General features: G+C 35.7%; 1 protein-coding gene across 6 annotated transcripts in view; it reads left to right on the plus strand.

Moving 5' to 3' along the window:
- Nucleotides 1–13646, plus strand: part of FAT4 (FAT atypical cadherin 4) — a 177978-nt gene that overhangs the window by 114374 nt on the left and 49958 nt on the right. For all 6 annotated transcript variants that reach the window (NM_001438396.1, NM_001438397.1, NM_001291303.3 and 3 more), the window contains one exon: nucleotides 4917–5097. In NM_001438396.1, coding sequence (NP_001425325.1) covers nucleotides 4917–5097 — 181 coding nt within the window. The remainder of the gene's footprint in view (nucleotides 1–4916; nucleotides 5098–13646) is intronic.

A 13646-nucleotide genomic window follows, 5' to 3' on the forward strand; every position in this document is an offset into this window, starting at 1 on the left:
GGGCTAATATAAAAATTAATTAAACATAATTATTCCTGTTTTCAATTAACTTATAACTTAATAGGACGTGACTGGAGTACGTTGATAATTATAATAATATAGAGCAAAACATCTGCAATAAGAGTGGCAGAGTTTTATCTGAGCTTAATTAACTTAGAAAAGATTTTTTTTAAGAATTCAAAACTGGCTCTCTGTCTATTCTGGCTAAATGGAAATTGGTTCAGTTCTTTGGGTCTTAAGTTGTTTAACAAAATCAAACAAGAATACCTACTTTATGGAATCTGTGCATTAAATGAGCAATACATGTATAAAATATGTATAGATCTGGTATCAAATGTGTTCAATGAAATATGTATAACACATGCATGTATGTATATGCACCTATATTTCAATTTAGATATAAATATATGAGCAAGGTTTACAGATAATGACTCTGATTTCAGTTTTTGACACACTAATGTTGAGACTCTTCAGTAACTTGCAAGAGCAGACCAACAAATGGGCAGTTGGATCTGACAGCCCAGAGGCAGCAGAAAGCTTTGGACGGAAGATAAAGTAATAGTAAACATTATGCAGCACTTCAAATAGGATGTATCCACTACACGGTGGGAAACAGTAATACTCCGGAGAACCTCTCCACACAGTTAAAAGGAAGGGTTACATCACACACCGGGTTCTGTCCTGGGGTGGGATGAGGGGGGAGGGAAAGCATTAGGAGATATACCTAATGTAAATGATGAGTTAATGGGTGCAGCACACCAACATGGCACATGTATACATATGTAACAAACCTGCACGTTGTGCACATGTACCCTAGAACTTAAAGTATAAAAAAAAAAAAAAAAGCAAACACACAGACACAGAAAAGCAACAACAAAAACACAGCGTCTTCATTCAATTAGCACATAAAAGAAGTGCCAAGATCTGTGGTCGCCAAGGACTAGGGAGTTTGTGTCACTCATCTGGCACAAATGCAGTGAAAATAAGATTCACTTGAAATTAAGAGACATTCCATTTTTCTCCCTTGATTTCATTTTTCTGTGTAAAGCTGATTTGGAGGTTATGCTATCAGTCAACAAGCAAGATGTTGTAGTGGGATGGAGGGTTGGTAAGCCCCATTCACAGGAATAATAGTCAAACACATTGGAGGCACGATTCAAATTTCAGGTTAATTAAATCTCAGTAAAAGGCTTAGAAATGTAGAACAAAATTTCTGTAAGGTTTCCTATGAAAAAAAATTTTTAAAACTAACAAGACTTGTGTGCACATTTCCTGGGGTAATAAGAAAGTTGAGACAGTTGAAGAAATTGTACTTCACTTTTCTTGAGGTGGGAAAAAAAAATAAGAAGAGAACTCCAAGTGCTTATGAAGTGGGTTGTGGCTGATAATAAGGGGAGAAAAGGGATACTCTGGAGAAAGTTCTTGGCTTGAAAACAGACTCATATAGATGTAGAATCACCTATGGGGCTGATCGTGGCTTAAGGATCATCTGCCAGTCTTGAGAATCATTTACTAATCTCAAGGATCAACAAATGATCCTCAAGCCAGAATTGTCTGTTGTCACCTGAGTGCTTTGAAAATCATCTGGAAAAATAAGTTGATATTCTTTGGTATGAACACAGTGAGACTGAACTTGCTGTAAGCTTTCCTTGATAAACAGGGCTCATTTTTTACTCCCCCCAGCATTTGCTTTCTACAGTATCTACAGTAATGTATCAACAGTAGTAATGTATCTACAGTAATATATGGTTTACAGACAAAGAAAGAAATCACATATTCTTGTCCAAATGAGTCAGTCATAATTTAATGTGGTTTTCCATATGTGTATCACCAGACACTTTAGAATACCAAATATTAATGTAAAGACTTTGACTGGCGGTTACTTATTTTCTAATTGTGAATTACAGCACAATGTGTATATCAGAAATATTCAGATCTTTCTTGAAATCTCACTGTAAGTCTTAAAATACCACATTTAAAAATGTCCAATTTACTATGTCTTCCATAAAGCTGTGAATTTTTAGAGAGCTAAATGTCTCATGTATTTTTACCACAAGTGAATCATTGAGATGAATTATTATTCAAAATATTTTCCTGAATAATATGAGACTGAATTGAAAGGTTTGGGGAGGGGGCAGAATCCTGAGAGCTGTAATACAGAAAACTATATAATAAAAAATGACTTTTTATAGTCAATTTCTGTGAGTTTTTTGGTCTCTAAAACAAGTACAAGAAGAACAATGGGTAACATAGAATATAATTTATGTGCTAGGTAGTGTCCTAAGCACATTACATTTTTCTCAATACCCCTTTGGGGTAGAGTCTATTATAATTCTCATTTTATGGATGAAGATTGATTTTTAGTGAGTAGAGTGAAATATCAGTAAAAGAGATTAAAGAACCCTGCATCTCCTCCCATCCTTTGCCTCTCTGGAACCTTGATTAATGTATCCCCTCTTTCAGTTTCTCTCTCTCTTCCATGACACCTCCTTTTGCTCACACAAATGCACACATATTCCCTAGGTAATTTTTTTTTTATGCAACTGGTGGGAATTCTACTAACATTATTCAGAGCATTAACTTCCATTTCATAAAATTGTATATAGTGAAACACACATTCAAGAAATTTAAGCCAAACATTGGTACTCAACAATACACTCCAAACTGTTTATTTTAGCCTTAATATATTGCTTGTGAGAAATTTAAAATCTATGCCAAGATTATTGTGCTCAAATGTCCCACAAACTTAAGCTGGCCAGTAGTGAAGGTCCCTCCCTGTTGGGCCTCTTCACCTCCTGCCTGGTGCTCTTCTAGGCTCAGCGACAGAGCTGCTTGTCCAGACCCCCAAAGCAGCGCAGGAAGCAGCACTGTTCCCCCTACTGGCAGTACCTTCCAGCTTCTTGTCAGTGGTAAAGACTCCAGGGCTGCTTTACATGGGTCACATCTCAGTGACATTCCTCACTAGGTCTGTGGCCTTGAAAAAGCTACTTAAACTTTCTAAACTTGAGCTTACTCATATACCAAATGGAGATGACAGCAGTGCTGATTTATGGGGATTAGATAAGACAGTTTATGTAAACTTCTTAAACCAGTGCATGCATATCTAAGGACTAAACAAATATTTACTGTTATTGATATTTCTTTCAATATGTTGCATGGAATTTTGACAGTCTTATTTGATGTGTTTCTTATCGTATCCTACATTCATATCTATTTTGTGTGTGTGAAATATTTGTTGCATAATTTTACCATTGCTTACAGTAAGCAAGTACTAAAAAGGCATTTACATTTTTTTTTAGTTTATAGTTCATTATGCATATTACCAATAGATTGAGGGCTATTTTTCCCTTTAGTGTAAAATCAAACACTAATAGGTAAGATTTCTGAAGTCATAAACTTTATGTTAAATTTTTAGATATTTCTTAGACGTCAAAATTTTTTGACTTTGTATGTTAATTTAAATGAAACACTTAATATAAAATATCTTATGATATATATATATATATGGCAACAATGATCAGTGTGCAGTCTAAATTTAATTGCATCATTTTCTGGGAGGTATCATGCTTCTTTATTGTGCTCTGCTCAACTGGGTATACACATTCTTTCATCTAACCTAGAATTCACAAAAATAACAGATCTCCAAAACCATTTCATTCCATAATTTCCCCATCTGTTGATTTTGGTTCCTATACACACATCTGAGCATAAAAGCTCATTGGTACTAGGCCACGAGTAATTACAATCTAAGAACATAGAAGAATGATTGAATAGTGGTAAAGGAAATACCAGCAAATCACTTGACTATTAGAAAATAATATGGTAAGGTTGTGAATCTCAATACCATTCTGTGATAATGAGGGCACTCCATAAACATTTTACAAATAAATGAATGAGTGGCTTTATTTACAGAATATTGAATGGTAAAGTTAAGTAGAATTTAAATGTCATATTAAGGGAAATAACTTTATTGAAGGTAAAGTAGTATCTTAAGCAGAAAAGGAGAGTATCTGGGGTTTTATTTTATTTTACATAAATGCAGTTAAATGGATCTTCATTGTTTCTATTTAGAAGAGTTTGAGTTTGAAAAACGGTTTTGAAAACACAACCAACAGCAGATAATTTGTCTTTCAGTTATGGGGACAGCCCACAGAATTCCAACACATATGGCATCTAGCCTTCACCACAAAATTAGTCTAGTACAGATAGTGTGGCCCAAGTGTTTGGCAAATGTTGGGTTTTCACCATATATTGATAGCAGCTGGAACAGGAAATAAAAATGAATCATTTCACGTTACATTGAATTTTAAGTAGAAGCAGCACACATGATTCTGAGTTAGCTCATCATTATGAAGTTATTCTAGCACGTAGAAGATAACACTTTTGAGATATAACTTGAAGCTATTTTTTGTTTCCCACAGACAGTATGGGAAAGGGATTTAAATACCTCAGAGACTCTGGAATTTGTGATAGTAACAATGATAGTCACAGCTGAGAGTCCAGTTTTTAACATTGCCTTGTTAGTTGGCCAGCTCTTCCATGCCTGTGGGTATTCTTCAAATCTGGTTTTGTGCTATTTTAATGTAATTTCAGAGAAATTACCGGCAGTGCCTCTTTTGTGGCATTCAAATGATATTGTTGTGTTCTACATTGTTGAATCAGCACCTTTAAAATAGAATAAGAGCATGACATATACTTTTCGTGCAGAGTTACTAGGAAAGAGTTGAAATTCTAGTTCACAAATGAAAACATTTGTCTTGTAACAAAATTAAAAATCACTCAATCACTTATGTGTTCAGAAATTTTACTTTGATGTTTCCTAAATTCTCTTTAGTAATTCTGTCTACAGCTAATTTTTGTTAAATTTGTTATTTTTTGTTTATAAACATTGAGACTTGATTTTCTTTTCTTTTTAGGATCCCCTGCCTTGACTGGAACTGGAACAATCAACGTCATAGTAGATGATGTCAATGACAATGTCCCCACATTTGCCAGTAAAGCGTATTTCACAACAATTCCTGAGGATGCACCAACTGGAACAGATGTTTTATTGGTAAATGCCTCAGATGCTGATGCTTCAAAGAATGCAGTTATAAGGTCAGTACATTTTCCTTTGTAAAGTTTGTCTGTTTTCTCATTAAACATTAGTTTTTGAACTACATGAATATAATGTTTAATTTAAATGAACGTCATATTAACACATATCCTCTTCTTGTTATCCATTGCTGATAGCCAACAATTCATTAAATGAAGATTCAAACAGTAAACATTTTACTTATTACTCTAAGATTTTATTTAATTTTTATTTTATTTATATTTTTATCATATCTCATGGTTTTGTGGTTTGGGACTACACTGGGTGCTTCTGTCTCATGAGGTTGACTGGTGGCACTTCACAGTATTTACATGGTGACTGAATGATCTGGAGGGGCCAAGATGACTTTGCATGCCTGCTGCCTTGGCAGGGTTGGTTGGAAGGTTCAGGATCATCTTGGCCCCCTCTGTCCTCAAGTAGTCTCAGAACTTCCTGATGTGGTTCTTTAGCAAAGTAGTTGGACTTTTTAGTTGGTGGTTCTCAACTCCAAGAGCCACAAGTGAAAGCTCCCAGAACTCTCAAAGGTCAGACTCAGATGTGCCATAGCAGCACTTCTATAATACTCTGTTGGTCAAAGCAGTGGTGACCAGCTCAGATTCACTGTGAGGAGAAACATGCATCACTCGTTGATTGGAGAAATGTCAAAGAATTTTGACCATTTTTATTCCACTACTAGCTCTAATAAGAATATTTGTGTATTCTTCATTTAGTAAATGTATTTTACTTTGCTTAAATCCTCTTAAAATTGAGAACACAAATATGATAACTTGTTCAGAGAGGATGTGAAAGAAATTTGAGTTGCAACATTTTATCAACCTAGATTGTCCCCTTCTTCCATATCTATTCTAAACTACAAGAAATGAAGATTTCCAAAGGTTCTAGAGAAAAACTCACACACATAAATATTTTATACCCCTCCTCCACTTTCTATAGGCTGGTATTAGGTAAATTAGAGTTGGTTAGATGGCTATGAAAGTAATGGAGCAGAAGATAAAATTTGAGACATTAAGAATTATCAGCTATGGGTACCAGATATACGGATATGGTAATGAGCTGATTCATGTCTTATTTTGTTGTTTGTTACCAATTTTCTTTTAACAAAATCATTTTGGAAAACTGGTTTTCACCACACAAATTTTAAGAAACACATTCAGACCACAATACTTGGTCTCTCTAAGAAATGACCTTTAAGCTGAAAGGACTGAGCTATGGAATGGAATTAATCTCGTTGTTTTATCTAAGAAGGTCAGCATGTCTGGACCAGAGTGAGAAAGGAGTCAGAGAGGTAGGCAGGGGCTAAATCATGCAGGCCATATACAGGCCATATATGTCACGATACAGAATTGGGGTTTTCCAATTTACCTTTAGGTGAGAAACTACTGGGGAGTTTTAAACAGAAGAGACACATAAACTGGTCTACATTTGGATAGAATCTGATGAGAGAGGATTTACGGAGAGAAACCAGTGCACCATTTAGGCACTAATTAATATAGTTATCCAAGTAGAGTAACTTTGTACTTACGTGGAGAAATGAAAATTGAGTAAATAGATTTGGGGCATACCTTTGAAATTGGATGTGAGACAGGAAGGGGAACATCACACACCGGGGCCTGTCATGGGGTCGGGGGAGGGGGGGAGGGATAGCATTAGGAGATATACCTAATGTAAATGATGAGTTAATGGGTGCAGCACACCAACATGGCACATGTATACATATGTAACAAACCTGCACATTGTGCACATGTACCCTAGAACTTAAAGTATAATAATAAAAAAAAAACAAAGAAATTGGACGTGAGATCAAATGAAAGAGAGAAATCAGAATCATCTAAGTTTTCCACTCAAACACCTAGGCAGATCATGATATGATATCATTTACTGAAATGGGTAGCATTGAAGGAGGAACAGTTTTGTGAGAAGTCAGAAGTATTCTATTTGAATACAGTTTCAAATGACTGTTACTCATTCATTTAGAGATACCAGTTAGGAAGCTGGAGATATGAGTGTGGAGCTTAGGGTTGGGGTTAGGGCTGGATATACACATTTGAGAGTCATCAGTGTTTAGAGGACATTTAAAACCAATAAACTGAATGAGAACACGTTTGCGGAGTGTATTAGTCTGTTCTCATGCTGCTAATAAAGACATACCTGAGACTGGGTAATTTATAAAGAAAAAGAAGTTTAATGGGCATATAGTTCCACATTGGCTGGGGAGGCCTCAAAATCATGGCCGAAGGTGAGGAAGAGCAAAATCACGTCTTACATGGTAGCAGGCAAGAGAGCTTGTACAGGGGAACTCCCATTTATAAAACCATCAGTTCTTGTGAGACTTATTCACTACCACAAGAACAGTATGCTCGAAGCTGCCCCCATGATTCAATTATCTCCACCTGACCCTGCCCTTGACACATGGGGATTATTTTTATTTATTTATCTATGTATTTTTTTTGAGATGGAGTCTTGCTTTGTCACCCAGGCTGGAGTGCAGTGGCACAATCTCAGCTCACTGCAGCCTCTGCTTCCCAGGTTCCAGTGATTCTCCTGCCTCAGCCTCCTGGGTAGCTGGGATTACAGGTGCACGCCACCACACTCGGCTAATTTTTGTATTTTTAGTTGAGATGGGGTTTCACCATGTTGGCCACACTGGTCTCCAACTCCTGATCTCAGGTGATCTGCCCACTTCCGCCTTCCAAAGTGCTGGGATTACAGGCATGAGCCACCATGCCTGGCCGACACATGGGGATTATTACAATTCAGGGTGAGATTTGAGTGAGGACACAGCCAAACCATATCAGAGAGAGTATAGCAGGATAAGGAAAGAGGCACTAGAACCAGTCACTGGGAATTCTCCAACACTTTAAAGGTAGGTTTAGGAGGAAAGGTCTCCAAGGAGACTAGGAGTTAAGGTAGGAGTTAAGAAGGTCTGAAGTTAAGGAGGCCTGGCTAGAGACAACAGAGGAAATGCAGGACAGAATGAATTATTTGCATGCATTGCAAAAGGATGGAAAGCTATATACAAATTTCTTTCAGTGAGCTACATACAGATTTCTTTCAGTGGACCAAGACTTATTCCAAGAGAAGAGTTGAGTTCTCAGAGTCCTGTAAAGTCAAATCATAGAGGACTGAGAAATTTCTGTCCAGGGTCATAACCCGTTTGAGTCATTGTACTTAGCACCAACCAGAGAGAGGCAGGTACAACTGAACTTCTTCCAGGTTATGAGCTTCAAAAGGCCACTAAATACCCTTTCTTTTACTTGTCTTATACCAAAGCATAGAAATAATAAAAATCATATCATAAGATTCAATCCAAAGTCTTTAGCTTAACATTAAGAGTAGAACCTTGGGAATTAAGTTGTGTGGAATTGAATCCTGACTCTACTATTACTATTGCATTAGTATGGGCAAATTAACATTTCTGGACCCGGTTTTCAGTGGATTAAGCAGAGTAATAATGAAACTAACTTTAAAGAGAGTAAGTAAAATAATTTAAGTGAGCTGGTTAGAATAGCACCAGGAACAAAAAACAATGCTCAATAAATGTCAACCCATATTGTTCTAATCATGCAAAGCACCTAGCCCTCTACCTGTCTATCATTTGTTAGTGCTAAATAAGTTTCTGATAATGATTTTGGAAGAGATGCCCTATCTATTGTAATGTTATAATCTAATAATTCTTTATCTGCCATGCAGATGCTGTTTCTTAGACAGTATATAGAATATTACCAATCAGATATAGGGAAATTCTCTTGTATGAGATGTATAAATTCCTGAATATGAAGTTGAATGTTTACAAACTTGATCCTGTCTTCCATTGAGTCATTCATTTATTTCTATAATAAAGTAAATGCTGTGATGACCTGCTGTTTTTTTCTAGTGCATGTTAAAGATTCATTGCAAAATGCTATCCTATGCTTGTGAATTATGCTTGTAAATTTGGTCTAGAAAAATTGTATTCATACTCTCAAACTGTTTTACAAAGCTGTACTGGTAGGTCTGATGGGATTGTTTTGCTTTGGTAGTATGTATTTTGGTTATTTGATTGGTTGATTAAATTTTCTTCTTTTAACATGAGAATTAACATTATACTTTTACATACATTGAAATCCAAAAACCCCATCAGTGAAAATCTTAAAATGACTCTACAGACTATCATATATTCAGTTAAAATGAAAATTGAAGCTATTTTTGTCTTGTGAATAAAAAACATTCAATTCACTTGCAAATTAACAGGGCAAACAATTATTGCAGCTTAAATAGAAAATATTTTCACAGACAAAGTAAATAGTTATTATAACCTCAACTTTATTTACTCTGGTTTGATAAAATCTTAATGGAATATAATGTATTTTATGGTTGGTGTTAATAACTCCTTGCTATTCATGGTATCCTGAAGAAAATCTATTCTTTCTTCAGATTAAAAGAGCTATTGGTTTAATTATTTATCTCCCATTTAAATTTTACATGGTTCGGTTATTTACTGAACTACTGTTGGGATCTCCAGGAGCATAAACTTTTATGTGTCTTATAAGTTAATTTTTTTCCAATGATCTAGCATGATTTTGCATATAGCATCCAGCCAACAATGTTTCTTTTTTACTTCTACCTATTTGATCAAACTTTGTATTTCTACAAATGGTGTACTTACTTTATGTTATACATTTTACTTCACCTTTAGTATTTTCCCTTATAGAAAATCAGACTGTATTAATTCTTAGTCTTTCTCTATCCAGATTATGTCTTTGCCTTCCACATATCTATTCCAGAGCTTAGCTTTTACAGATATGTATCCCCTTTTCTCCCAACTGGACCAAATCTCTATTCAAGCCCCACTTCTAATTCTTCTGTATCACAACCCTGGAGACAGCCACAAACTCCACTGACAAAGTCAACATTCTAAGGAAGATTTCTTTTCTTTTTTTTTTTTTTTGAGATGGAGTCTCGCTCTGTCACCCAGGCTGGCGTGCTGCGTCGTGATCTCAGCTCACTGCAACCTCCGCCTTCCAGGTTCACGCCATTCTCCTGTCTCAGCCTCCTGAGTAGCTGGGACTACAGGCACCCACCACCATGCCCGGCTAATTTTTTTTTTTTTGTATTTTTAGTAGAGATGGGGTTTCACCGTGTTAGCCAGGATGGTCTCGATCTTCTGATCTCGTGATCTGCCTGCCTTGGCCTCCCAAAGTGCTGGGATTACAGGCGTGAGCCACCGCGCCCCGGCCAGGAAAATTTCTTAATATGTGCTATTAATCTCTTCCCATTCAATTTCCTCCAACTCTTTAATTCAAAAGTTACTCATTTTTCTTGTGTTTCTTCAAGTTCTCTCTCTTCCTTGAACCATGTAGATATCTATATAAATGCTCATTTACATAAGTTAGCGTATCTACAGAAATGCTCAGAATTTCTGTTGAATTCTGGTTCTTTTATTTGCCTCCCATGGCCTAGGAAAGTCATTTTAGTGCCTCAAAGGCTTAGTTTCTGCATCAATAAAAATGAACATAAAAATTTATACTTTACAGTTTGTGAGACAAACATTTACTAACCACCTACTATGTATCAAACAGTATGTATGGAATCAGTTAATATCCATAAATGTCTCTGGCATAATTATTAGGACATAGAAGTCACTAAATTAATTCAAGGTTTCTTTTTTCTTTTTATTCTTCTCATATCATCTTTTTTACTCCTAATATATTCTTTCTTTTACAATATCTGGTACATAACAGTGGTTGTCACTTAAATAAATGCATTGAATGAACGATTTTAATATTCTCTGGAATGGCTGCTTTTACTCATTCTATTTTTACTACAACATTCTTGAAAGCTTCACAACCTGTTTTCTCTGACCATTTATTCCTGAAAATCTTTAGTCTGATTTTTTTTTTCCTTCATTGCTTTACTAAAAAAAGGCCCTGTCAGAAGACTACTGAAATTTTTCAAGTCCAGTGACTTTTCTAAGTCCTTATTCTCCTTTACTTTTTGCAATGTTCACACTACAGGCCAGGCCATCTTTTCTTTTTGGCATTTTTTCCTGCTCAATGTCTATATAAATATTATTTCTTATCATCCTGCATCTCTGATCACACACAGTTTGTTTTCTGTTTCTCTTTTCTCTCTCTGGAAAGTAATTTGAATACTTCTCACTGCATTATTTTCTCAGTACTTGTGTGTGTGTGTGTGTGTGTGTGTGTGTGAGAGAGAGAGAGAGAGAGAGAGAGAGAGAGAGAATTTATTCCATTGCTGCAAGCATCAATTCTGTGAACAAAACCTCCAAATCTGTACTATCAACTCTGATTCCACTCCAAAATTTTGCACCCATATTTATAACTCGCTGATAGACATATTACACTGGAGGTTCTGTTGGCATCATAAACACAGTGTACCTAAAATTCTTTGCTTTTCCTGTTTCTCATTTTGGTTTTCTGCTTTGTTTTAATAATATTGTCTTGGTTTGTTTTTTACCACACCTTGCAGCTAAGGGTCATCCCCTCTCTTATACTCAATCAGTGGACAAATTCTCATGTTTCTTCTTTTCTAATGCATCTGGCACCCATTCTTTTCAGTGCATCCCTTCTGCCAAGATCCTAGTTCAGTTCATAATTACATCATGCCTGTACTATTATAATAAGAATTAACTCACTTCCACGCCTCTAGTTTCTAATCCTTCCAATCTATGTAGTACACTGTCCTGTAAAATTATGAAGCCCTGACTATGCACCAAAAATTTATTAAACTCTCAGGAGTTTGGAACTCTAGGGCCCATAAGAAGTGCAATTTAATAGAAGAGATAATTTTGTAATTTCTTAAGTGTAGTACCGTATAACAAGTATAGTTTAAGCACAGAATAGGTGGAAAGAATAGTATGGCCAATGATCCTTCAATGATACTAAGTAGAAGTAGTTTATGGAGAAATAAAGGAATGAAAGATATTCTAGGCAAAGACAGTATCAGGTACTAAGGCAAAGAGCTATGCAAAAAACATGGCATTAGAGAAAGAAAGTATTTCCATATGGTTGGTGTGGGTTAGGAATGGACTTTGTATACCATATAAAAAATTCAAAATTTCTTTCTGCATCTAAGGAGAGAAACAATGGAAATGTTTTAAGCAGCAAGCACAAAAACATGCCTAGTTATATTTCATAATTATTTCTTTCCCAGCATTATAGGAAATAATTTGTACAAAGCAAAGCTGGAGTCAGTGAATTAAAGGGCAATGGCAGAAGTATGCATCAACATGAGCATCTCTTGGCTCTGCTTTAACAATTATACTTCCTTCCTCAAAATCTTTCAATTCCAGTTTGCCTATGGTATAACCCCCAGTCTTCAAATTCTAGTCACCCCATAAATGGCCCCAGCTAATTCTGCAAAACTCTGCAACATATGGCCAAAAGTTCAGTATTACTGGATCATTTTCTGCTCATGGGACAAGGATCTGTGCTTTCCCAAGCCTTATAGGTTTGCTCAATTTATTCTATATCTTTGACCAGGGCTTGGCAAACTACTACCTGCAGGCCAAATTGGGCCTAGTGCCTGTTTTTGTAAATAAAGTGTTATTGGAACACAGCCATGCCCATTCATGTACCTATTGTCTTTGGCTGCTCTTGCCATATGATGGTAAGCTGAGTATTGCAACAGAGAATATATGACCTGTAAAACTGAATATCTTTACAATCTGGCCCATTATATAAAAGGTTTGCTGACCACTAGCCTAGACCTTCTTTTGTTTCTGCCTTTTTGAACACTATTGAAAGATGGGTAGCCCCTTTACAACTTATGTTAAATTTACCTTTCTCTGAGGAAGCTTTATTTTAATCATTCCAGTCAAGAGTGTTCTGTCTTCTGAATACCTACAGTGACACCTCTTTACTGTTTCATAGCACTTTACTGTTTTGTAATTACCTTTTTTTTATATCTTTCTGTCATAAAGGACATAAACTTGAAACCAGGATTTTTTTTAACCTACTTAACCGTGTCTCTGTTTTGAATTTTTAGTCCCTTTATCCATTTAACTATCTAAATATAGGTTGAGCATCCCTAATCTGAAAGTCCAAAATCTAAAATGCACCAAAATCCTAAACTTTTTGAGCATGAACATGATGCCACAGGTGGAAAATTCCACACCTGATACCTTTGCTTTCTGATGTTTCAATGTTCACAAACCTTGTTTCAAGCAATTATCAAAAATATTAGATAAAATTATCTTCTGGCTATGTATATGAGGTATATGAAACATAAATGAATTTTGTGTTCAGACTTGAGACCCATCCCCTAGATCTCTCATTATGTATATGCAAATATTCTATCCAGAGAAATCCAAACACCCCTGGTTCCAAGAATTTTGGATAATGGATACTCAACCTATGTATAGATAGATATGGATAGATTGTATGTAATAGACTATTACGTTATACATATATATTATATAGGTCCTATTATGTTGGTAAACTTAGACTTTTAAAGGCTCACCATTTATCAATTACAATGCCAAGTGCTCTTTATACAAAATATTTTTAATAGTCAAAACTACCAAATAAAAAGTAAAATATGACCTCCACTT

Source organism: Homo sapiens, chromosome 4 (assembly GCF_000001405.40).
Source record: "Homo sapiens chromosome 4, GRCh38.p14 Primary Assembly".
Taxonomy (NCBI): domain Eukaryota; kingdom Metazoa; phylum Chordata; class Mammalia; order Primates; family Hominidae; genus Homo; species Homo sapiens.